The sequence below is a fragment of the Homo sapiens genome, chromosome 22 (assembly GCF_000001405.40).
Source record: "Homo sapiens chromosome 22, GRCh38.p14 Primary Assembly".
Lineage (NCBI taxonomy): Eukaryota > Metazoa > Chordata > Mammalia > Primates > Hominidae > Homo > Homo sapiens.
Window position 1 is genome coordinate 42019038 of NC_000022.11, and position 25447 is coordinate 42044484.

The 25447-nt window shown below is 42.0% G+C and overlaps 1 protein-coding gene across 8 annotated transcripts in view; it reads left to right on the forward strand.

The window, feature by feature from the left end:
* The window catches only part of WBP2NL (WBP2 N-terminal like), a 59584-nt gene that overhangs the window by 20250 nt on the left and 13887 nt on the right, over positions 1–25447 (forward strand). For 2 of the 8 annotated variants that reach the window (XM_047441172.1, XM_047441174.1), the window contains exons 2-9: positions 274–382; positions 625–766; positions 967–1059; positions 3212–3319; positions 7729–8225; positions 10902–10989; positions 11683–11786; positions 13594–13894. In XM_047441172.1, coding sequence (XP_047297128.1) covers positions 274–382; positions 625–766; positions 967–1059; positions 3212–3319; positions 7729–8144 — 868 coding nt within the window. In that variant the 3' untranslated portion in view covers positions 8145–8225; positions 10902–10989; positions 11683–11786; positions 13594–13894. Of the gene's footprint in view, positions 1–273; positions 383–607; positions 767–966; positions 1060–3211; positions 3320–7728; positions 9439–10901; positions 10990–11682; positions 11787–13593; positions 13895–25447 lie in introns of those variants that run through there. The other 6 variants (XM_047441173.1, XM_047441175.1, XM_047441176.1 and 3 more) reach the window with 5 other exon arrangements.

The following is a 25447-nucleotide window of genomic DNA, read 5'->3' on the forward strand; positions in this document are numbered from 1 at the left end:
GTGAAACCCCCATCTCTACAAAAATACAAAAAAATTAGGCAGGCATGGTGGCGGGCGCCTGTAGTCCCAGCTATTTGGGAGGCTGAGGCAGGAGAATGGTGTGAACCCGGGAGGCGGAGCTTGCAGTGAGGTGAAATCGTGCCACTGCACTCCCGCCTGGGCAACAGAGTAAGACTCTGTCTCAAAAAAAAAAAAAAATTGCGTTAAGAACTTTATGTGTGTCATTTTACATACATTCTTTATTGTGTGCCGTCTGTTCCTCATTTTCTACAGTCTCTTGAAGCGGTCTCCGAATGTGGAGCTCTCCTTCCCACAGCGATCAGAAGGCTCAAATGTCTTTAGTGGTAGAAAGACAGGAACATTGTTTCTCACTTCATACCGGGTAATTTCTACTTCTACTTTAATCTGCTGATTAACTCTACATTTGTTTTCCTTGAAATGAAGAAAACTTAAACATTGACTTTTGAAGTGTTTTTAAACGTGCGCTTTGGGATTTTCCACACTGAAGGGTGGTGGAAGAAAAGATGATGTTTCTCAGTTAGACCAGAATGCACCTTGCTCTTGTAAGTCTCAATCCATGGACAAATTCTGCATTCCTTTTCCAAAGTTTCTGTCCTTGCGTAGGTGATTTTCATAACTTCATGCTCCATCAGTGATCCCATGTTGTCTTTTATGATGCCATTTGATCTGATGACGAACCTCACTGTTGAACAACCAGTATTTGCTGCAAACTTCATTAAGGGAACTATTCAGGCAGCTCCATATGGTAAGTGTTCCCTCAGAAGTGTGTATTTTTTTTTCCCTCAAAATCTTCTAAAAGGTTTAAGATTCAAACTTGGCTCATGTTGAAATTCAAACAAAAGCTGCCCTACTTTGTCAGGTAGTGCTTCCCTTGGTGTTTGTGGCAGTCTTTCTGTTGTCAGCTATGCCAGTTTCTTGGTGAGTGTGTGCCATTTCTTCCCCCAGGTGGCTGGGAAGGACAAGCTACTTTTAAATTAGTCTTCAGAAATGGAGATGCCATTGAATTTGCCCAGTTGATGGTGAAAGCTGCCTCTGCTGGTAAGTGATGCTGATAAAGATATTAAGCACTTTGGGGTTTTTTGTTTGTTTGTTTGGGTTTTTTGTTGTTGTTGTTGCTGTTGTTGTTGTTTTGTTGTTTTTGAGACAGGGATTTTTGTATTTTTGTAAGTCGGGGTTTCACCATGTTGCCCAGGCTGGTCTCGAACTCCTGAACTCAAATGATCCTCTTGCCTCAGCCTCCCGAAGTGCTGGGGTTACAGGTATGAGCCACCATGCCCAGCCCACTTTGGGGTTTTAAGGCTTGTGGAATTAAAGCAGGACTTCTACTCAGCCAAGATTTGCTGGCCTTTGTGGCCAGGCAGTTGGTATTCGCACACATATTCAGCAGGCATTTCCTGGGCCTACCTACAATTGTCAAGTACCATGTTACAGGGTAGGAACACAAAGATTATTCAGTCCCTTCCTATCCTGAAGGAGCTTGCAATCTAGTGGGAGCTTACAGCCAGACACCCAGGTGACTAATTATACCTGATAGTCTTTTGTCCATTTAAACACTGACCTCAGATATCTACTGAGCGTCTCTTCCTTGGGTCAGGGAGCCCTTAGTTATTCTTTCTTTGGTGTGGCTTTTTAGTTTTTCTTCTCTCTGGACTTGCCTTTGCTTTTCTCAGGTTTAGTCCCCATCTTACATGAGAGGGGAGTAGAGGTACTGTCAAGACTTATAGCACTGATCTAATGGATGTACCACAGAACTCTTTCAAACTGTGACTACAAATAATTTTTTTATCTCATATATGTGTGTGTGTGTGTGTATATATATATATATATATATATATATATATATATATATATTTTTTTTTTTTTTTTTTTTTTTTTTTTTGAGACAGTGTCTTGCTTTGTCACCCAGGCTGGAGTGCAATCATGCAATCTTGGCTCACTGCAACCTCCACCTCCCGGGTTCAAGTGATTCTCCTCCCTCAGCCTCCCAAGTAGCTGGGATTACAAGTGTCCACCACCAAGCCCAGCTAATTTTTGTATTTTTAGTAGAGACGGGGTTTCACCATGTTGGTCAGGCTGGTCTCGAACTCCTGACCTCAGGAGATCCACCTGCCTCAGCCTCCCAAAGTGCTGGGATCACAGGCGTGAGCCAGCACGCCTGGCCGGTCCTTGCGATCTTTAACCCATGGCTTCCATGGCCTCTTTGTACAGCCAGCAGAGAAGGAAATAAAGATCTCCCCTGGGAAATTTTTATGGGCCAGGCCTGGAAACTGTCTACATTACATCTGGTCACATGCCATAGGCAAAACTCAGTGTGGTAGGCTGATAATGGATCCCCAGATATATCCCCATCCCAATCCTCAGAATCTGTGACTGTTACGTTATTTGTAAAAAGGGTGTTTGTAGACGTAATTAATTTAAGGATCTTGAGATGACAAGATTACCCTAGATTATTTAGGTGGCCTCTAAATGCCATCACAAGTGTTCTTATAAGAGAGATGCAGAGGGGAGACAAGACAAAAGTGTTTTCTTCGGTACCACACTTCCTCACATTGGTCTTTAATGGATATATCTTACCAACTTGGTAGAATCCTCACTTAGAAGTTTTTTCTGAATATCTGTTATGATTAGGTGCTATGCTAGGCCTGGAATAAGCACAGGCAAATGAGATACAATCTCTGCCCTTAAGACACGTGCCATTCAGGACAAGGGTCATATTTCTTTTCTTTCTTTCTTTTTTTTTTTTTTTTTTGAGACAAGGTCTTACTCTGTCACCCAGGCTGGAGGCTCCAGTGCAGTGGCACAGATAAGGCTCACTGCAGCCTCAAATTTCCAGGCTCAAGCAATCCTCCTGCCTCAGCTTCCTGAGTAGCTAGGACCACAGGCATGCACCACCATGCCTGGCTAATTTTTAAAAAATTTTTTGTAGAGATAGGGTCTTGCCATGTTGCCCAGGCTGGTCTTGAACTCCTGGGGTCAAGCAATCCTCCCATCTTGGCCTCCTAAAATGTTGGGATTACAGGTGTGAGCCACTTCACCCAGCCCATGTTTCTTTTTTATCTTGTGTCTCAAGAGCATTGTTGGAAACACATGTAAGGTGGTGATTAAATACTCTGTTAATTGTTTAGTTGATATCTGCTATATATCTGACTTAATTAAAAGAGTTCCTATTTTGCCAAATTTGTCTTTCCAGCTGCCCGAGGATTTCCACTTAGAACCTTAAATGACTGGTTCAGCTCTATGGGAATTTATGTAATTACTGGGGAAGGGAATATGTGCACTCCACAGATGCCTTGTTCAGGTAAGGTATGGCAGAGAGGTTCTTCCTGGAAGGTGGAAAATTATGCCAGAGGCTCAAAGATCTATCCCTTGCAGGCTTGCTCCCTGCAGGAGCAGCAGCAGAGCTTTAGGGGCTTGGAAAATGGTCACATCTGTGACTTTGTTTCCAGACTGAAACCCAGTGGCAAAGTCAGCAAGTGACTGGGCTTTGGTTTCAGGCTTACTTTTAATGATATATACAAACCTGGAACATACTTGGCAATCCTGTTAGTGGGAAGGGTCACTTCCTGTTTATAGCCTGAGCAGAAAATATATGCTCTTGCCCACTTCCTTGTTTCCATTTCACATAGCATAGTCATCATACCTGTGCCACACCCTTCAACCTTACTGAGGACTCGAGCCCTGGGTCCTTTAACAGTTTGTGTTGTTAAAGTCCACTGCTACTGAATGGGGTTTCTGGAAAGTAATTCTCAAACATGGTCCACTGCCTACTGGTGGGCCACCAAGGGTCTCCTAATGCTGCCAACACACACAAAAATATGGGACTTTTCTTGAGTTCTCCTTGGAACTTGATATGCATGTCCATGGGCCTTTAGTTTTGTATGTAACTTAAAGGCTACTTATTTGTAACCTTAATAGGTACCTTGGTTTTTAAAGGTTATTACAGTCTAATATTCAGAATCTAAAGTAATTGTTGCTAGGGTTTAACATTTTTTCAGTTGGTGAAATTCACATAACATATAATTAACATTTTAATGTGTACAATTCAGTGGTATTTAGTGTAAAATTTAGCAGTATTTGACGTATTCACAATATTATACATCCACCAGCTGTCTCTAGTTTCAAAAAGTGGTGTTTTTTTTTTTTGGAGACAGAGTCTCACTTTGTCACCCAGGCTGTAGTGCAGTGGCACTATCATGGCCCCCTGCAGCCTCGACCCCCTGGGCTCAAGCGATCCTCTTACCTCAGTACCCCCCAACCAGAGTAGGCTAGGACCACAGGCGCAATCCACCATGCCCGGCTAATTTTTATGTGTTTTTGTAGAGACAGAAATCTCCCTATGTTGTCCAGGCTGGTTCTGAACTCCTGGCCTCCAGCCATCTGCCCGCCTTGCCCTCCCGAGGTGCTGGGATTATAGGCATGAGCCATCTCTGGCAGCCTTTTTTGTTTTTGTTTTTGTTTTTTTGAGAGGGAGTCTTGCTCTGTCGCCCAGGCTGGAGTGCAGTGGCGCGATGCAAGCTCCACCTCCCGGGTTCACGCCATTCTCCTGCCTCAGCCTCCTGAGTAGCTGGGACTACCGGCGCCCGCCACCACGCCCGGCTAATTTTTTTTTTGTATTTTTAGTAGAGACGGGATTTCACTGTGTTAGCCAGGATGGTCTCGATCTCCTGACCTTGTGATCCGCCCGCCTCAGCCTCCCAAAGTGCTGGGATTACAGGCTTGAGCCACCACACCCAGCCCCTGCCAGCCTTTTTTTTTAAAAAAATTTTGTAGATACAGGGTCTCACTGTGTTGCTTAGGCTGGTCTCACACTCCTGGGCTCAAGCAAGTCTATTGCCTTGGCTTCCCAAAGTGCTGGGATTACAGGTGTAAGCCACAGCATCTGGTCTGGTTTCAAAACTTTTTATCACCTAATAGCCACTAAGAAGTTATTCCCCATTGTCCCCTCTCTGATCCCCTGGTATCCTCTAATCTGCTTTCTGTCTTTATTGATTCACCTATTGTGAATATATCACATAAAAGAAATCATACAATATGTGACCTTTTGTGTTTGGCTTATCTCACTCAAGATAACGTTTTTGAGGTTCCTCCAAGTTGTAGCATGTAGCAATACTTCATTTCTTTTCCTGGCTGAATAATACTCCATTGTACATATATACCACAATTTGTGTATTCATTCCTCCATTGATGGACATTTGTCTTGTTTCCACCTTTTGGCTATTACGAATACTAGCTGCTATGAGCATTTGTATATAATTTTCTACGTAGACATATGTTTTCATTTCTCCTGGATATGCATCTTGGAGTGGAATTTCTGGGTCATATGTAAATTCTCTAACTTTTTGAGGAACCACCAACTATTTTCCAGTGCTGCACTATTTTACATTCCTGTGTAAATGTAAGTGTTCCTATTTCTACACATCCTCAGCAACACTTATCTTCCTTTTTTTAAAAAAAAAAATCTATATTAAAGCCATTCTAGTGGGTATGAAGTGGTATCTCATTGTGGTTTTAATTTGCATTTCCTTAATGACTAATGATGTTGAACATCTTTTAATGTGCTTTTTATATACCTTAATTGGAGAACTGTCCAAGTCTTTTGCCTATTTTTTTTATTATTTAAATCGGATTGCTTGTCTTTTTGTTGTTGAGTTGTAAGCATTCTTTATATAGTCTGGATATGAAATCCTTGTCAGATATATTATTTGTAAATATTTTTAGGTTTTCTTTCACATTCTTGATAATGACTTTTTTTTTTTTTTTTTGAGACAAAGTCTCCCTCTGTCACCCAGGCTGGAGTGCAGTGGCGCCATCTTGGCTCACTGCAATCTCTGCCTCCCGGGTTTAAGTGATTCTTGTGCCTCAGCCTCCTGAATAGCTGGGACTGCGGGTGTGTGCCACCCTGCACAGCTAATCTTTGTATTTTTAGTAGAGATGTAGTTTCACCATGTTGTTCAGACTCATCTAGAACTCCTGAGCTCAAATGATCTGCCTGCCTCGGCCAGTGGGTTACAGGTGTGAACAACTGTGCCCAGGCAAAAATGGCTTTTAATGCACAAAGGTTTTTAATTTTTATCAGATTTCTCTTTTTTCCTCTTGTTGCTCATGCTTTTGATGTAAAATGTGAGAATTCGTTGCCAAATCCAATGTCATGAAGATTTATCCCTGTTTTCTTCTAAGCATTTTATAGTTTTAGCTCTTATATCAAGCTTGTCCAACCCATGGCCCAGGATGGCTTTGAATGCAGCCCAACACAAATTCATAAACTTTCTTCAAATGTTATGAGATTTTTAAAAATAGCTCATCAGCTATCGTTAGTGTTAGTATATTTTATATGTGGCCCAAGACAATTCTTCACCAATGTGGCCCAGGGAAGCCAAAAGATTGGCCACCTCTGTTTTATATTAAGGCCATTGATTCACTACAAGTTAATTTTTATCTGTAGAGTGAAGTGAGGGAAGAACCTCATTCTTTTACGTGCAGATATCCAGTTGTCCCAGAATCATTTTTTGAAGAGACTGTTTTTTTCCCATTGAATGGTCTTGGCATTCTGTCAAAAATCAACTGTTCATAGATGCTTGGGTTTATTTCTGGACTCTTAATTCATTCCATTGGTCTCTAAGTCTGTCCTTGTGCCAGTAAAACACTGTCTTGATTACAGTAGTTTTGTAATAAATTTTGGATTAAAGCAAAATAACTTTACAGCTGTCCATTCACTTTATCCAGTTAAATCACTTTGGGGAATGTAACCCAAGGTAATAAGTAAAACTCATGTTTATTGTAAGGTTAATTGGAAAGTCAGAAACAACAAAAAGAGTCATCTATCCATATGATGAAATATTATCCAGCTTTGAATTTATGAAGTAAATTAACAATATGAAGACATTTCTTATAATATTAAGTAAAAGAGCCAGATTTAAAAAATCATATGGCTGGCCGGGCGCAGTGGCTCACGCCTGTAATCCCAGCACTTTGGGAGGCCGAGGCGGGTGGATCATGAGGTCAGGAGATCGAGACCATCCTGGCTAACATGGTGAAACCCTGTCTCTACTAAAAATACAAAAAAATTAGCTGGGCATGGTGGCGGGTGCTTGTAGTCCCAGCTACTCGGGAGGCTGAGGTGGGAGAATGGCATGAACCCAGGAGGCAGAGCTTGCAGTGAGCCAAGATCGCGCCACTGCACTCCAGCCTGGGCAACAGAGCGAGACCCCCTCTCAAAATAATAATAATAATAATAATAATAATAATAATAATAATAATAATATGGCTGATATGATCATGATTATATAAAGAATATTCACAGAGATTCTACAAAGAAATACACCAAAATAGTAAGTGTTCAATGGTAGAATTATAGATGGCTTTTTTCCATTCCTCTTTTCTCTATTTTCCAAACGCATATTCCTCATTAAGCATGTATTACTTTTTTTCATAATCAAACTTTATTAAGTAAAACACATATCTGTGCAAGAGTATAAGTAACGCACCGATCTATTGATAGGGTTGTTTTCATGTTGATTTGAATCCCTGCACAACAGGAAGTGATATGCCTTCAATTGGTGATAGCTAGAGGAAATAGCTTTAGCATTATTCTGCCTGACTTCTCTTCTTGCGTCAGTTTGCTTCAGCATTATTTTTTAAGTTCTTCCTTCTCACATATTCCTTGACTTAAAGGTAACTGAATTTTTTTCCTTCCATTATAATTCCCAGTTATTGTCTATGGAGCCCCACCTGCAGGATATGGAGCCCCACCTCCCGGATACGGAGCCCCACCTGCAGGATATGGAGCCCAACCCGTAGGAAATGAAGGCCCGCCTGTGGGATACAGAGCCTCACCTGTGCGATATGGAGCCCCACCTCTTGGATACGGAGCCCCACCTGCAGGATATGGAGCCCCACCTCTAGGATATGGAGCCCCACCTCTTGGATATGGAACCCCACCTCTCGGATATGGAGCCCCACCTCTCGGATATGGAGCCCCACCTGCAGGAAATGAAGGCCCGCCTGCGGGATACAGAGCCTCACCTGCTGGATCAGGAGCCAGGCCTCAGGAATCTACAGCAGCCCAGGCTCCTGAAAACGAGGCTTCTCTTCCCTCTGCCTCCTCTTCTCAGGTCCATTCTTAACCTTCTAAGATGTAAACCTTGAAGACTCACCAAGCAAAGAGGTACCCTAAAATTGAAGTCAGGATAAGGAGGACGACTCAGGTATGTGATCACAGGCTTCTCGCAGGTAGTTGTTCCACCCTTTGGAAGGGCAATCTTATGGGGGAAGGTGAAACTTTACTTCTGTGCCTAGATTTTAGAAGCAGAATCAACTCTTAAATAGCTGGCTAAAGGAAGAATACCATTGTGGGGCTAATTCCCCAGTAATTTGGTTGACATTGGGTTGCATTTTTAAACATAACTTTTTCCACACTCGCATTCAAGGTTCCTGTCTTCCCATCCTCATTCAAGAAACATTTATTATGCTCCGTTTGCTAGGCACTAAGATGCGTGCTAAAAACGTCATGTTGAACACTTAGTTGTTTGAGAAAGCTAAATTTTCAATAGTAAGAGTGTTATAAATTACGGTGGATCCACAAAATGGAGTATTATACACCTGTTGAAAACTATGTCTAGAGGTAGAGAAAGCCTTCTTTGAGGAGACCAAAACCAACAAATAAAAGCATGATAAATTGACTATATCAAAATTTAAAACTTCTCTATGACAGAAGTTAAAAGATAGGCAACAGAATAGGAAAAAGTGATTTTCAACATATATATTAATTTATAGTCAGAATACGTGAATAACTACAAATCAATTCTCCCCAAAATGACAGAAATATGAATTGCCGAATAACCAAGGCAATAGCATGGCCAGAAAACGTTTGAAAAGATGTTCAGCTTGACTAGTGTTAGGGAAATGCAACCTGAGATGAGAAAACATTTTTATCTCCAAAGATTTACAAATATTAAAACTCTTGATATGGCACTTTCACATTTTAAAATATGCCTGCGAGAAAACTTGCATGTGTGCACAAAGATGCATGTGGGAAGATTTCATTATATTCATTGTTTCTAACAGCACAAAATTAGAAATAACCTATATGTCCATTAATAGGAAATATATGAATAGGCTATGGTATGCCCATACTACGTATGCAGAAATTTCTAAGACTTGTTGATAAGGAGAAAAGCAAGTTGTAGGGAGCATATACTATAGTGATTTTCAGCCTCATCAGACTGAATGCCCCATTTTATAACAAATATTTATATTTTATAACAAACGTTTATATTTGTATATTTATAACAAATATTTTGTAATGTCTCCTTCACTTCAATGAAGTTTGTAGATAATTGCATATGATTCCACACCATTTCAACCAAAATTAATAGGCCATAAATGTGATAGAGGAAATAAAAGGAGTTTGTAGTAAAATTTTAAGTGTTTTAATATATAAATGCTCAGATTCTACCACACTAGAAGACATACTGAAGTAATCAAGGGTTCACTCCCATATACATAGTCAGCATAGGTATAAAGATTAGAAGTGCTAACTGATATGAATATGTTGCTTTGGTGACTTGAATACCATTGCTATTGGCAATATTGTTCTCCAAAATGGTGAACAACCTTTGAAAATTTTCCAAATAAAACAAAGTTTAGTCTTCCCTTGATTTACACAGTGGTTGAATTCCTGAAAATTTCTGTATATATTAAAGTCATATAAAACAGAGTTAGGCTGTAGGCTCAAATGATTATAAACATGCTTCACCTACATCACTGGCTGGAGAGCCATTTGAAAGTCAGGAGACATAGGACAATTAAGGTACTGCCCTGTACGTTTCAGGATGTCTTGCATCTTCGACTCCTCACCCATTAAGTGCCAATAATGGCCTCCAATTGGGATAACCAAAAATGCTCCCACTTATTTCCTAATTGCTCCCTGGGGGGCAGTACCATCCCTGCTGAGGACCACTATTCTAGACTGTTTCAAGGCTTTCAGCCCCTTCAGAGCTCACCATTCTCCCACTCTGGCAAGGCAGGCAAAGTTCTTAATTTCATTGGCCTTTCCTTATCTTATTGTAGGCTCATCAAGCCACCTAAAAGGGAGGCCTTAAAAATACATTAGTAGCCAGGTGTGGTGGCACATGCCTGTAATCCCAGCACTTTGCACTTTGATAGGATAAGGTGGGAGAATCACTTGAGGCCAGTTCAAGACCAGCTTGGGCAATATAGCGAGACCCTGTGTCTAGGAAAAAAAAAAAAAAAAAAAAAAAGCCAGGTGTTGTGGTGTGCACTTGACCCAGAAGACATTTAAATCAATATATTTTCTATGCATTTTTTTTTTTGAGACAGAGTCTTGCTTTATCACCCAGGCTGGAGTGCAGTGGCACAATCTTGGCTCACTGCAACCTCCACCTCCCAGGTTCAGGCAATTCTCGTGCCTCAACCTCCTGAGTAGCTGGGATTACAGGCAGGTAAAACCATGCCCAGCTAATTTTTTTTATTTTTATAGAGATGGGGTCTGGCCATGTTGGCCATGCTGGTCTTGAACTCCTGGCCTCAAGCAATCCTCCTGTCTCAGCCTCCTGAAGTGCTGGGATTACAGGCATGAGCCACTGCGCCTGGCCTTCTATGCATATTTCTTATATGTAGTTGAAATCATGCTATATAATGTTTCACCAGATATTTTACATTTTCATAGGTTTTGAAGAAATGCTTGTAAATATTGTTAGTGACCACATAATATTCTGTGACACAGTTACACCATAACGTATTTTCTCAGTCCCTCTTTTAAGGTATTTGAATTGTTTCCAGGTTTTTGTTATTACAACTTCATGATTAACTTCTTTGTATATGGAGCTTTTTAAAAGTTTTAAATGCTTTCCTTAACACAGCTTAGAGTCATTGATTGATCTGCATTGTGAAAATTAGGAAACCAGATGCTCCCATGTTCTCAAGGACAGCCTTTCTTAAGGAAGTCAGGTAGATATTAATGGGTTTTATGTGAAATGGAGTAACTGGGTTAAATATAATTGAAAAAGACAAGAAAACTGGTTTCTTTACTACTTCTTAGAGCCTTGACTATACTAATGGACATAATCTCCAAGAAGGAGAGATTTTCAAAATTTACAGTTTTTTCAAAATTATTTGATTTTAGAATATTCAGTAAACATTTTGTTCAGTGGAAGAAACTGAGAAACACTTTCTGGAATTATGGGATATTAGAATTAGAATGGACTTCAGGTATCTGGAGTATGCTAGACCTTAAAGCTCTTTCCAAAAATGAAGACAAGTCAAAAGACCATTCTTCCTTCCATTCCAAATAAAAGAGCTTTATATCCAATTTACAGAAAGCAGGGTGGGACATCTTGAAGATAAAATATATAGAAAGTAGCTGCTGCTTCCTCTCAGAAATTACTGGGATAGAGTTATGGGTCTAGGAAGCTGGAATGTCAAAACACAGGGACAGCCACTTTGCCCAGGCAACTGGCATGAAGGGAAGAAGTGAAAAGGGAAAGTGTGGCTGTAAACCTCTCTAAAGTTTCCAAACAGGGAATCCAGGCAATATTGGATCTTAAACATGGGTCATAGGATCTGGCGCTTTTATCCCTAAAATTTTTGGAGGAAAATAACGAGATATTTTAAGTTTCTTCTTTTCTTACTTCCAAACTACAGTACGTGGGCAACAGTGATGAGAGGAAGAGAGGAGAGACTCAACCAACTAGAGCAGGGATAAGGTTTCCCTTGTTCAGCTTTTCAGTGTCTGCTGGAATGTGATGGTAAGTTGAGAACAGGGTGAATGGGTGAGGCCTTTTTTATATCAGAAAGTTTTCCGAGTAACTGATCTCTGGCAAATATTTGGGGATTAGAATTCTAAAAGAATACAAACTAGACTTCTCTTCTGCTCTTCATGTTAGTTATACTTGTACCAGGTAGATTTGAGGTGGGGTCCAGTTACCTGAAAAGCGTAGCAGGTTCGAGTTTCTTAAAGGTGGAATTCCACCATGTTCTCCTGTGCAAAGGGTACCTGTTTACCTGGTCCACCAAACTGCCCCAGTACAACCAAAGGCTGTGACTGTGTAAGGATAGAACCAAGTGGAGCCACAGTTTGGACCCACGTGGTGCTGCGTGGCACACCTACTGTTAGTTAGCTCCCACTGTCTGGTACAGTTGTTTCCCCCAAAGGCTCAGTCCAATTTGTTCTATAAGAAGAGCTTTGTGTCCTGTATATTCAAAGGACCCTGGTTTTTGCTTTGCTGAGGACAAATCCAGTCAGAATTCAGCTGAGCCTTCTGCATGCTGAGAGCACTCATGTGCTGAGTTCCTCAGCTCCTCACTGACGTTTTGAGTACTTTCTTTCTGACTCACTCACTGTGCTGGTGGATTCCGCTCTTCCTGTCTCTTCCCCAGCTGCAATACAGAAACTATACTCTGTTGTCTACTCTTTCATTTCCTATTAGAAATATAAAGGGATAGAAATAAGAAGACCTTTTAGTCCTGGACTATCTGGTATTGGCCCCTAAAATGAGCCTCCAAATACTCCTTTTCATGGGTAAGTGGATGCTCCCCAGCCTGCTGGAGCAGAACCTTCCTGGCTCAGCTACCCTGAGATATCAGGACAAAAACATATAGTTGGTGTGATTTTCCTCTTTTTGTTTTTTTTTTTTTCAAGATAGAATCTGGCTCTGTCCCCCAGGCTGGAGTGCAGTGGCGCGATCTCGGCTCACTGCAACCTTTGCCCCACAGGTTTAAGCGATTCTCCTGCTTCAGCCTCCTGAATAGCTTGGATGACAGGTGCCTGCCACCATGCTCGGCTAATTTTTGTGTTTTTAGTGGAGACAGGGTTTCACCATGTTGGCCAGGCTGGTTTCGAACTCCTGACCTCAAGTGATCCACCCGCCTCGGCCTCCCAAAGTGCTGGGATTACAGGCATCGGCCTGTGCCTGGCCGATTTTTCAATCCATAGATTAATATGTTCAAGAAATATTGCATGTCTTTGTTTTCTGTAAATTTATTTCTGTTACCAAGATCCCCACCACCATCTGCTTTGTTGGTGGGCTTCTCACAAATCCTAAGATTATGCAAAGGTATCCAGATTTTATTTGGCACCAAGATGCTGAGAAGTTTCTTCTGGTCATCAGACTGCTTCTGAAACAGCCACTATCCAGTCCTGGCAGTCCCGTCAAGTCTAAAAGCTTGTTGCCTTGGGACCCCAGAATCTTAGGTAGGGCTTAGAACCAGGGTGTCAGAGATCCAACTCTGTGTACCATATTGCTCCTTAGAACTGGGGAGTAGGACCCCAAAGGCCTCCTTATCCTTGAGAGTCTGACAATTCCTTAAACTTCCAGATTCTGCCCTCTCAGCTGTGCTGTTGGTCTGCATCACCTCTATCTCTTAAGCATCTATCCTAATCCAAATCTCAGGATTTGGGTTTACCCAAAAGGTAATAGAAAGCCTTTGCCTTCATGTTGACTTGGCTTTCCTTGCCTAGCACTTGGTTGCTTGCTTGAAAATCATGTATGTATATATATAAAATGTAGAAGCCCAATTCAAATTAATAATGTAAAAATTTATTCTGTTACACAGATTACCTCATTGTCAGGTAGGAAGTGAAACGTATGATATTCTTCCTGGCCTTTGCCTTGAGAGTCTTCTGGAGCCTGAAGAGGGTGGGGCAGACAACCATGGACTGCTAGAGAATAAACTTTCTTTGAAGCTTCCTAAATGGATTAGAAAGAAGGGGTTCTGTCAAAGGGAAAGGGTCTATACAGATGTGACCAGCAGTTTGATTAGTTTAGATGTATGATTTAGTAGCCAATATAAGAAACTTGTAATTTTTAGTAATTAGAATTTATTATAAATAATAAAACAGGGTATTAATTATTAATATTATGGTATCTTTGGGGTGTCACTTTTCTGGCCAGAAACCTCTGTGGACAAGTGGCACCTCTGCCCAAGTATTGCTTGGGCCCACTGGGCTCATTCCACCCACCCGGCCTGACAGGCTGCACTTGGCTCATGCTACTGGCCTGGATCCCATGCCTGCCAAGGGAGATTGCATGGAGTGACAAGGGGTGTGTGGGGAAGTGTGGGGTCTGGCTATTTTTCAGTCAGATGTGCCAGCTGCTGCAGTGGGGTGGTCAGCTCCAGGTACCAGCATGGGCACCAGCTCTCCACGAGGCTGCAGCTGGACCAGTCGCACTCCAAGCAGCTTCCACAGCTGGCACCAGGGAAAAGGTGGTGCCCAGAAGCTTGGAGATGCCAGGAACCATAGGGCCCCAAAGAGGGAGTCACAGCCCTGGCTTGGAGAGCTCCCAGGTCTGGGCTTCCCAAAGGGCTGCAGCTCTTCTTTTCTTCTCTTTGCCCACAACATGTTGAGCAAGGGGCATGTCTCAACCCTGTTTGTGTTACAGGTCTTTTAGCCTCATTTAGTGGGTCCAAAGTTCTTCAATGAGGTGCACAGACAAGTAGAGGGTGAGCAATGAGAATGAGGTACACAGACAAGTGGAGGGTGAGCAAGACAAACAGGAGCTATTGAGTGACAATAGCTCAGAGGAGGCCTTGGAGTGGGTAGCTCCTATCTGCAGGCAGGTCTTCCTGTCATCTCTGTGGCTCTCAGCAGAGAGGAGGCCCTGGAGTGGGTAGCTCTTCACTGCAGCTCATTGTGCTGATGTCTGCTGCTCTCAACAGAGAGGGGTCCTGGAATGGGTAGCTCCTCTCTGCAGCTGGTCGTCCCAACATCTGCTTAGCTCTGGCTGAGCCCAGGGATTTTATGGGCCTCAGAGGGGAAGAAGTACATATCGATTGGTCCATATGTGGCCATGGGCAGGCCCAGAAAAGCCATCACAAGTTCTCACTCCAGTCCATGGGACTGGCATCCTGGCCCCCAGCTTTCAAGCCCTCCCTGGCCTGAAGGTGTGACGTCACCAGGGACCCATCCCCTTCTACCCAGGAACCTGTCTGCCTCCTTCCGTTGATGGTACCCAGGCTGTAGGTGCCAAGCCAAGCTGCCCTCAGCTCCCCTCAGTTTCCTTCTATGCTCATTGTGCCCAAAATCTGGAGGGGGCCAGGGCGGCAGGGGGCTGGTGTGTCAGCACTGCCCAACTTTGCTCTGAGATCAGAGAAGGCAGGGAGAAGCTAGGCAGTAGGAACAGGCATTTCCATGCCTGCAAGGGCAAGGGGGTATCGGGGGACCTGCCCCAATAATCACGTAGGTTCTTTTCTATTTTCCTAAGCGTCGGCTGACTTGAGAAATAAAAGGACAGAGTACAAAAGAGAGAAATTTTAAAGCTGGGCATCCGGGGGAGACATCACACGTTGGTAGGATCTGTGATGCCCCACAAGCCACAAAAACCAGCAAGTTTTTATTAGGGATTTTCAAAAGGGGAGGGAGTGTGCGAATAGGTGTGGGTGACAGACATCAAGTACTTAACAGGGTAATAGAATATCACAAGGCAAGTGGAGGCAGGGTGAGATCACATTGCTAATGAAGTTTCAGGCACCATTGTCATTGATAACATCTTATCAGGAGACAGGGTTTTGAGATCACCCGGTCTGACCAAAGTTTATTAGGCGGGAATTTCCTCTTCCTAATAAGCCTGGGAGCGCTATGGGAGACTGGAGTTTATTTCACCTCTGCAATCTCGACCATAAGAGACAGGTACGCCCCGGGGGGGCCAGTTCAGAGACCTACCCCTAGGTGCGCATTCTCTTTCTCAGGGACTTTCCATGCTGAGAAAGGAATTCAGTGATATTTCTCCCATTTGCTTTTGAAAGAAGAGAAATATGGCTCTGTTCTGCCCGGCTCACCGGTGGTCAGAGTTTAAGGTTATCTCTCTTATTCCCTGAACAATTGCTGTTATCCTGTTCTTTTTTCAGGGTGCCCACATTTCATATTGCTCAAACACATATGCTGTACAATTTGTGTAGTTAACGCAATTATTACAGGGTCCTGAGACGATACACATCCTTCTCAGCTGACAGGATTAAGAGATTAAAGCAAAGACAGGCATAGGAAATCACAAGGATATTTACTGGGGAAGTGATAAGTGTCCATTAAATCTTTACAATTTATGTTTAGAGACTGCAGTAAAGACAGGCATAAGAAATTACAAAAGTATTAATTTGGGGAACTAATAAATGTCCATAAAATCTTCACAATCCACATTCTTCTGTCATGACTTCAGCCGGTCCCTCCGTTTGGGGTCCCTGACTTCCCGCAACAAGGGGGGCCTTCCTGGGCCCCCAAGAGTGCAAGGATGCCTGGGTCTGCAGCCACGGTTTGGGCAGCTGGAGCTGTGCCTGGGAGGGTGGAGCTCCCACCTGCCCCTCTGGGCCCTGAGAGCACAGGGATGCCTGGGTCTGCAGCCACGGCTTGGGCGGCTGCAGCAGCATCCAGGAAGCTCTCACCCCAACTTGGAAGGGGCGGGTCTCGCGCTTGTCCCTGGCTTTTGCCTTCTCCATGGAGCATGCAGCCCTGGCCATGCCTAGTTGCTGCAGCCAGCGTGATGGCAGCAGCTGCTCCAGATGGCCTGCTGCTGCCATCATTAATATGTAGCTATTAAACACAGTTGGTGAATCACTTTTTTGTCTCTTAAATTATTTTGCAATAATTTAATATTTATGACATACAAAAATTATATATATTTAATGTATACAACTGAATGTTTTTGTGAAACATTGTGAAATGACCATCACATTCCAACTAATTAACATATCTATTACCTGTATATAGTTACCATTTTTATACCCTTTGACCAACATCCTCCATTTCCCCCTCTTCCCAGCCCCTGGCAACCACCATCCTACTTTCTGTTTCTATAGTTTGACTATTTTAGATTCTACATAAAAGGGAGATCATGCAGTATTTCTCTTTCTGTGTCTTGCCTATTTTGTTTAACATAACTTCCTCCAGCTTCATTCATTTTGTTACAAATGGCAGGATTTTCTTTTTTAAAGGCTGAATAATAGTCTGTTTTGTATGTGTGTATAATCACATTTTCTTTATCTGTTCATCACTGAAGGACATTTAGGTTGTTTCCATATCTTGACTGTCGTGCAAAATGCTACAGTGAACAATGGGAGTACAGATATCCCTTTACTATCCTATAGGATTGTTTGATCATATGTTCTATTTTTTTTTTTCTTTGAGACCAAGTCTCGCTCTGTCGCCCAGGTTGGAGTGCAGTGGCGTGATCTGGGCTCACTGCAAGCTCTGCCTCCTGGGTTCACACCATTCTCCTGCCTCAGCCTCCCGAGCAGCTGGGACCACAGGCATCTGCCACCATGCCCGGCTAATTTTTTTTACTTTTAGTAGAGATGGGGTTTCAGCATGTTAGCCAGGATGGTCTTGATCTCTTGGCCTTGTGATCTCCCCGCCTCGGCCTCCCAAAGTGCTGGGATTACGGGCGTGAGCCACCGTGCCCGGCCATGTGTTCTATTTTTAATTTTTTGGGAACCTTCATACTTTTTCCATAATGGCTGTATGAATGTATATTCCTAACAGCAGTGTACAAGGGTTCTCTTTTCTCCACATCCTTGACAACATTTGTTATCTTTTATCTTTTTGATAATAGCCTAAAAGGTGTGAAGTGATATCTCATTATGGTTTTGATCTGCATTTACCTGATGATTACAAATGTTGAACACATTTTCATATGCTTATTGGCCATCTGAATTTCCTTTTTTGAGAAGTGTCTATTTTGGTTCTTGGCCCATTTTTTAATCCAGTTATTTGTATTTTTAGCATTGAGTTGTATGAGTTCCTTATATATTTTGGATATTAATCCCTTATCAGCTATATAGTTTCCAAACATTATTTTCCCATTCTGTAGGTTGCCTTTTCATTTTTTGGATTATTTCTTCTGCTCTGCAGAAGCTTTTTAGTTTGATGTAATCCCACTTGTCTATTTTTTCTTTCATTGCCTGTGCTTTTGGTGTCATATTGAGAAAATTATTACAAGACCAATGTCAAGGTTTTCCCAATGTTTTCTTCGAGGAATTTTGCAGTTTCAAGTTTTACATTTGAGCCTTTTGTCTATTTGAGTTGATTGTTGTGTAGTATGAGATGGGGTCAGATTTCATTTGTGTGTGTGTGTGTGTGTGTGTGTGTGTGTGTGTGTAGATACCCAGTTTTTCCAGTACTGTTTATTGAACAGATTATCCTTTCCCGATTGTGTGTTCTTAGCACCCTTGTCAAAGTAAGTTGTTCATTAATATGTGAGTTTATTTCTGGGTTCTCTGTTCTGTTCCATTTTGTCTGTGTCTGTTTTTATGCCAGCACCATACTATTTTGGTGATAGCTTTGTAAGATAGATAATTTGTAGTCAGGAAGTGTGATGTCTCCAGCTTTTTGTTCTCGTTCAAAATTGCTTTGGCTATTCAGGGTTTTTTGTAGTTCCATATGAATTTTAGGATTTTTTTTTTCTATTTTTATAAAAAGTGCAATTGGGATTTTGATAGGGATTGCATTGAATCTGTAGATTGCTTTAGGTAGTATGGACACTTAGACGATATTAATTCTTCCAATCTGTGAACATGAGATGTCTTTCCACTTATTTGTGTTTTTATTCCATTTATTTGTGTCAGTTATTTTGCTGAGTCCCGTAAATTCCTAAGTATTTTAAAATTTTTGTTGCTAAAGTAAATGAGGTTGCATTCTTAATTTCCCTTTCAGATAGTTCATCTTTGGTATATAGAGATGCTATGGAGTTTTATATGTTGATTTTGTGTCCTGAAACTACGGAATTCATTCATTAGTTCTACCAGTTTCGGGGGGAGGTGCGGGGAGAGAGAGAGAGAGTGAGAGTGTGTGTGTGTGTGTGTGTGTGTGTGTGTGTTTGTAGTCTTTTGAGCTTTTTATGTATATGGTCATGGCATGCAAAAATAATCTTACTTTTTCCTTTCTGACTTGGAAGCCTCTGTTTTTCTTGCCTGATTGCCCTGGCTATGACTTCCAGTACTATGTTGATTAACAGTGATAAGAGTGAGCATCCTTTCCTTGTTCTGTATCTTAGAGGAAAGAAAAGCTTTCAGTCTTTCACCATTGAGTGTGATGTTAGTTGTGGGCATTTCATAAGTGACCTTTATTGCATTGAGGTAAATTTCTTCCATACTTGTTTTGTTGAGTCTTTATCATGAAAGGATGTTGACTTTTGTCAAATGCTTTTTCTAGGTCTACTGATGTGATCATCTGTTTTTTGTGTTTCCTTCCTCTTATTGTGATTTACTACATTGGTTGATTTTCATATGTTAACTGACCTTGTATCCTATGGATAAATCCCACTCTATCATGTTGTATAATCATTTTAATGTGCTGTTGAATTTGGTTTGCTAGTGTTTTATTAACGATTTTTGCATTTATGTTCATCAGGGATATTGCCTGGTAATTTTCTTATGTTATCTTTAGCTTTGGAATCAGGGTGATGCTGACTTTATAAAATGAGTTTGGGAGTGCATTCTCTTTTTTAATTTTTGGAAGAGTTTAAGAAGGCCTAGTGTTCTTTGAATATTTGGTAGAATTAGCATATGAAACCATCCGGTCTTGGGCATTTCTTTGTTGGATTTTTTTTTTGTTTGAGACCAAGTCTCGCTCTGTTGCCCAGATTGGAGTGCAGTGGTGTGATCTTGGCTCACTGCAAGCTCCGTCTCCCGGGTTCACGCCATTCTCCTGCCTCAGCCTCCCGAGTAGCTGGGACTACAGGCACCTGCCATCACGCCCAGCTAATTTTTTGTACTTTTAGTAGAGACGGGGTTTCACCGTGTTAGCCAGGATGGTCTCGATCTCCTGACCTCAGGTGATACACCCACCTCGGCCTCCCAAAGTGCTGGGATTACAGGCGTGAGCCACTGCGTCCAGCTGGATTTTTTTTTTCTTTTTCGAGATAGGGTCTTACTCTGTTGCCTAGGCTGCAGTGCAGTGGTATGATCATTGCTCACTGCAGCCTCAATCTCCTGGGCTCAGGTGATCCTCCTGCCTCAGCCTCTCTTACGTAGCTGGGACTACAGGTGCACACCACCATTCCTGGCTAATTTTTTTTTTTTTTTGAGACAGAGTCTCACCCCGTTGCCCAGGGTGGAGTGCAGTGGCACTGTGTCGGCTCACTGCAATTTCCGTCTCCTGGGTTCAAGCAATTCTCTTGCCTCCATCTCCCAAGTAGCTGGGATTACAGGCGCCCACCACCATGCCTGGCTAATTCTTGTATTTTTTTTTAGTAGAGACAGGGTTTCACCATGTTGGACAGGCTGGTGTCGAACTCCTGACCTCAGGTGATCCACTCGCCTTGGCCTCCCAAAGTGCTGGGATTACAGGCTTTTTTTTTTTTTTTCCAGTATCAGTGAGGTCTTCCTGTGTTGCCTAGGCTGGTCTCAAACTCTAGAGCCCAAGCAATCCTCCTGGCTCAGCGTTCCAAAGTACTGTGATCATAGGTGTGAGCCACTACGCTCAGCCTGGAATGTTTTTGATTACTGATTCAACTCCTTGTTTGTTATTGGTCTGCTCAGACTTTCTGTTTCTTCTTGATTCGGTCTTGGTAGTGTGTGTGTTACTAAGGATTTATCCATTTCTTCTAGGTTATTCCATTTATTGGCATATAGGTTGTCATAATAGTCCCTTATGATCCTTTTTATTTCTGTGTCATCCATTGTAATGTCTCCTCTCTTATTTATGATTTTATTTATTTGAATCTTCTTTTTTAATCTAGCTAAAGGCTTGATGATTTTGTTGATCTTTTTAAAAAGCCAACTTAGTTTTTTCTATTCTCTATTTTGTTTATTTCTGCTCTAATTTTTCTTATTTCTGTCCTTCTGCTAACTTTGGGTCGAGTTTGTTCCTCTTTTTCTAGTTTCTTGATTTGTACAGTTAGGTTTTTTTTTTTTTTTTCCTCGAGATGAAGTCTTGTTTTGTTACCCAGAGCTGGAGTGCAGTGGCTCAACCTCAGCTCACTGCAACCTCCGCCTCCTGGGTTCAAGCGATTCTCCTGCCTCAGCCTCCAGAGTAGCTGGGACTACAGGCAGGCACCACCATACCCGGCTAATTTTTTGTATTTTTAGTAGACATGGGGTTTCACTATGTTGGACAGGCTGGTTTCGAACTCTTGACTTCAAGTGATCCACCCGCCTTGGCCTCCCACCATGCCTTGGCCAATGTTAGGTTCTTTAATTGAGATCTATCTTCTCTCTCTCTCTTTTTTTTTTTTTAGACAGAGTCTTGCTCTGTTGCCTAGGCTGGAGTGCAATGGTGCGATCTCAGCTCACTGCAACCTCCGCCTCCTGGGTTCAAGTAATTCTCCTGCCTCAGCCTCCTGAGTAGCTGGGATTATAGTTGCCTGCCACCACGCCTGGCTAATTTTTTGTATTTTAGTAGAGACGAGGTTTCACCATGTTCGCCAGGCTAGTCTTGAACTCCTGACCTCAAGTGATCTGCCTGCCTCGGCCTCCCAAAGTGCTGGGATAACAGGTGTGTGAGCCACCTCGCCTGACCGAGATCTTTCTTCTTTTTAAACATAGGTGTTTAATGCTATACATTTCCCTTATGGAACTGCTTTTGCTGATTCCTGTAAATTTTAGAAAGTTAGAATTTTATTTTTGTCTCAAGATATTTTAAAATTCTCTCTGGATTTCCTCTTTTATCCAGTTGTTCAAGAGTGTATTGTTTTTATGAATTTGTGAATTTTTCTATTTTCTTTATGTTACCGATTTCTAGTTCTTTCCACTGTGGCCTAAGAAGATACCAGGTATTATTTCAATCTTCTTAAATTTGTTAAAACTTGTTTTGTGACTTAAGATGTGACCTATCCTGGAATATGTTCCATGTATACTTGAGATGAAATTGTATTCTGCTGCTGTTGGCTAAAACGTTCTGTATGTTAGGTCCATTTGGTGTATAGTGTTATTCAAATCAGTTGTTTTTTTATTGGTTGTCTGCCTGAATGTGCTATCCATTATTAAAAGTGGAATATTGAATTCTCCTACTATTAAATTGTTTTTAACCTCTTTCTTCATATCTGTCCATATTTGATTTATATATTTAAGTGCTCTGATGTTCAGTACATACATGTTTATAATTGTTATAGCTTCCTGTTGAATTGAAACTTTTATCATTATATGACTTTCTTTGTCCCTAGTAACAGTTTTGGACTTAAAAGTCTGTTTTGGCTGGGCACAGTGGCACACGCCTGTAATCCCAGCACTTTGGGAGGGGAGGCTGAGACAGGCAGATCACGAGGTCAAGAGAGCGAGACCATCCTGGCCAACATGGTGAAACCCCATCTCTACTAAAAATATATAAATTAGCTGGGCGTGGTGGCACACACCTGTAGTCCCAGCTACTCGGGGGGCTGAGGCAGGAGAATCACTTGAACCCAGGAGGCGGAGGTTACAGTGAGCCGAGATCATGCCACTGCACTCTAGCCTGGCAACAGGGCGAGGTTCTGTCTTTAAAAAAAAAAAAAAAAAAAAAAAGTCTGTTTTGTCTGATAAAAGTATAGCCACTTTTGCTCTCTTTTGGTTACCATTTGCATGGAGTATCTTTTTCTATCCCTTCACCTTTAGTCTGAGTGTCCTTATAGCTAAAGTAAGCCTTTAGCTTACTTCTTTTTATATTGTGACTCTATTACCAAATTTTTTTGGTTATAGTTATTCTTGATATTTTTATTTTTCAACTTTTGTAGTGTTATGGGTAAATTGGGCACCACCATTACAGTGTTATATTATTTTGTATTTGACTATATTTACCTTTGCCTGTGAGATTTATGCTTTCACATTGCTGATTAGGATGTTTTAAATTCCATTTGAAGAAATCCCTTAAGCATTTCTTGTAAGACAGGTGTAATGGTGACAAACTCAGTTTTTGTTTATGTGGGAAAGACTATCTCTCTTTCAGTTTTAAAGGATAGCTTTGCAGGGTATAGTATTCTTGGTTGCCATTTTATGTCAATATTTGGAACATATTATCCCATTCTTTCCTGGCCTACAAAATTTTTGTGGAGAAATCTGCTGATAGTCTCATAGGGATTCCCTTGAATGACAAGTTGCTTTTTTCTTGCATCTTTCAAAAGTTTTTGACTTTGACAGTTTCATTGTGATGTGTCTTGTTGTAGACTTGTGTTCAACCTATTTGGGATCCTATGGGCTTCTTCAGTCTGGACGTCTATTTCTTTCCAAAGATTTGGGAATCTTTTTAGTTACTTCTTCAAATACACTTTCTACTTCCTTTTCTCACTCTTCTTCATCTCATAACCCCATAATGTGTATATTAGTTCACTTGATAGTGTCTCATAAATCCTATAAGCTTTCTTCGTACATTTTAGTTCTTTTTTCTCTTTTCTCCTCCAATTAGATAATTTCAAATAACCTGTTTTTGAGTCTGCAGATTCTTTCTTCTACTTGAGTCATCTTCTGAAGTTCTGTATTGCATTTTGTAGTTCAGTCATTATATTCTTCAGCTCCAGAATGTTTTGTTTTAATTTTTCTCTATCTTTGCTGAACTTCTCATTTCATTCTTGTATTCTTTTCCTGATTTCATTAAATTGTTTATCTGTGTTCTCTTGTAGTTTGTGGAATTTCTCTAAAACAATTATTGTGAATTTTTTATCAGGCGGTTCATGGATATCCATCTCTTTGGATTATTTACTAGAAGCTTATTTTCTTCCTTTGGTGTTGTCATGTTTCCCTGATTCCTTGTGATCCTTCTAGCCTTGCATAGGTGTTTGCACATTTAGAGAAGTAATCATTGGCTGGGTATGGTGGCCCATGCCTGCAACTCCAGCACTTTGGGAGGCCAAGGTGGGCAGATCACTTGAGCCCAGCAGTTCGAGATGACCAGCTTGGGCAACACGGTGAAACCCTGTCTCTACCAAAGAAGATAAAAAAATTAGCCAGGCGTGGTGGTATACACCTGTAGTCCCAGCTACTCAGGAGGCTAAGGTAGGAGGATCCCTTGAGCCCAGGAGACAGAGGTTGCAGTGAGCCAAGAAAAAAAAAAAAAAAAAAAAAAAGGAGAAGAAGCAATCCATCTCTTCTAGGTTTTATAGAGTAGCTTTGGTAAGGAAAGACTTTCACTCCTCAGGAGTGGGTGGGCAGCATGCTGCAGTGTGCCATGGCATTGGTTCTAGTGGTCCTCCACAAAGTGTGGGGGCATGTGGCAGCTCCAGGTTCATGGAGCAGTACAGTGTTTTATTGGCTCAGGGAGCTGGGTCTGTGATGTCAGCAACTGTGTGGTCCTTGGAGACAAGAGGTGTGGGGGCCTACAGTGGCTGCAAGGGCTGTTGAAGTTCTCAGCAATGCTTCCAGGTGCAGCAGCAAGGGACTGGAACAAGTTGTTGGTGTGGGGCTAGGGCTCGTGGTGTGTATATGCTCAGTTGTGGGAGCCAGCTGCTGGCACATGTGTGATGGCAATGGCCAGATGTGGGCATATATTGTGGTGAAGGCGAGGACCAACAGTAGGGGCTGGAGTCAACTCTAGGCACACACACAGTGGCAGTTATGTGTGTGTGTAGCTGTGGTGTTGGTAGTGTGCATCCTTGTGAATTTAAGGGCCAGTTGTAGGCATGTGCATGGAGGGAAGGGCCAGCAACCATTCTGGATCAGCTGCATGCATGTGCACAACTGAGGAGAAGCAAATTGCTTTTAAAGTCCAAATGTTCTTTCAACAATCTTTGACACGCTAGCCAAAACTACTGGAGCTAGATTTTTTTTTTTTTGAGATGGAGTCTTGCTCTGTTGCCCAGGCTAGAGTGCAGTGGCGCGATCTAAGCTCACTGCAACCTCCACCTCCCAGGTTCAAGCGATTCTCCTGCCTCAGTCTCCCAAATAGCTGGGATTATAGGGAACTGCCATCATACCCGGCTAATTTTTTGTATTTTTGTATAGACAGGGTTTCATCATATTGGCCAGGCTGGTCTTGAACTACTGGCCTCAAGTGATCCACCCACCTTGGCCTCCCAAAGTTCTGGGATTACAGGCGTGAGCCACCTCGCCCGCCCTGCAGCTAGAGTTTTAAGTTGTTAACCAAAGAAAAGATTTCCTTCTCTGTTGCCTCAGAGAGGCAATAGTTGTCTTTTCGGTTTGGAGAAGAGTTACCCAAATGAGCCTTGCTCTCCTGTTTCACCAAGTCTGTGCCTAGAATGCTTTCTATCCATCCCTGTCCCTATCCCACCAGGCATGTGCCACTATGTCTGGCTAATTTTTTTTTAAATTTTTTTTTATCTCTACAGACAAGGTCTCATTATGTTGACTAGGCTGGTCTTGAACTCCTGGCCTGAAGCGATCCTCCCACTTCAGCCACCCAAAATGCTGAGATTATAAGCATGTGCCACCGCGACCAGCTGGCCTTACCTTTCAATACAGCCCCACTGGGGATTCAGTTTCAACATGAGTTTCAGAGGGGACAAACATTCAAGCCATAGCAGGAATTAATAGAGAAAATCAACAAAACCAAATT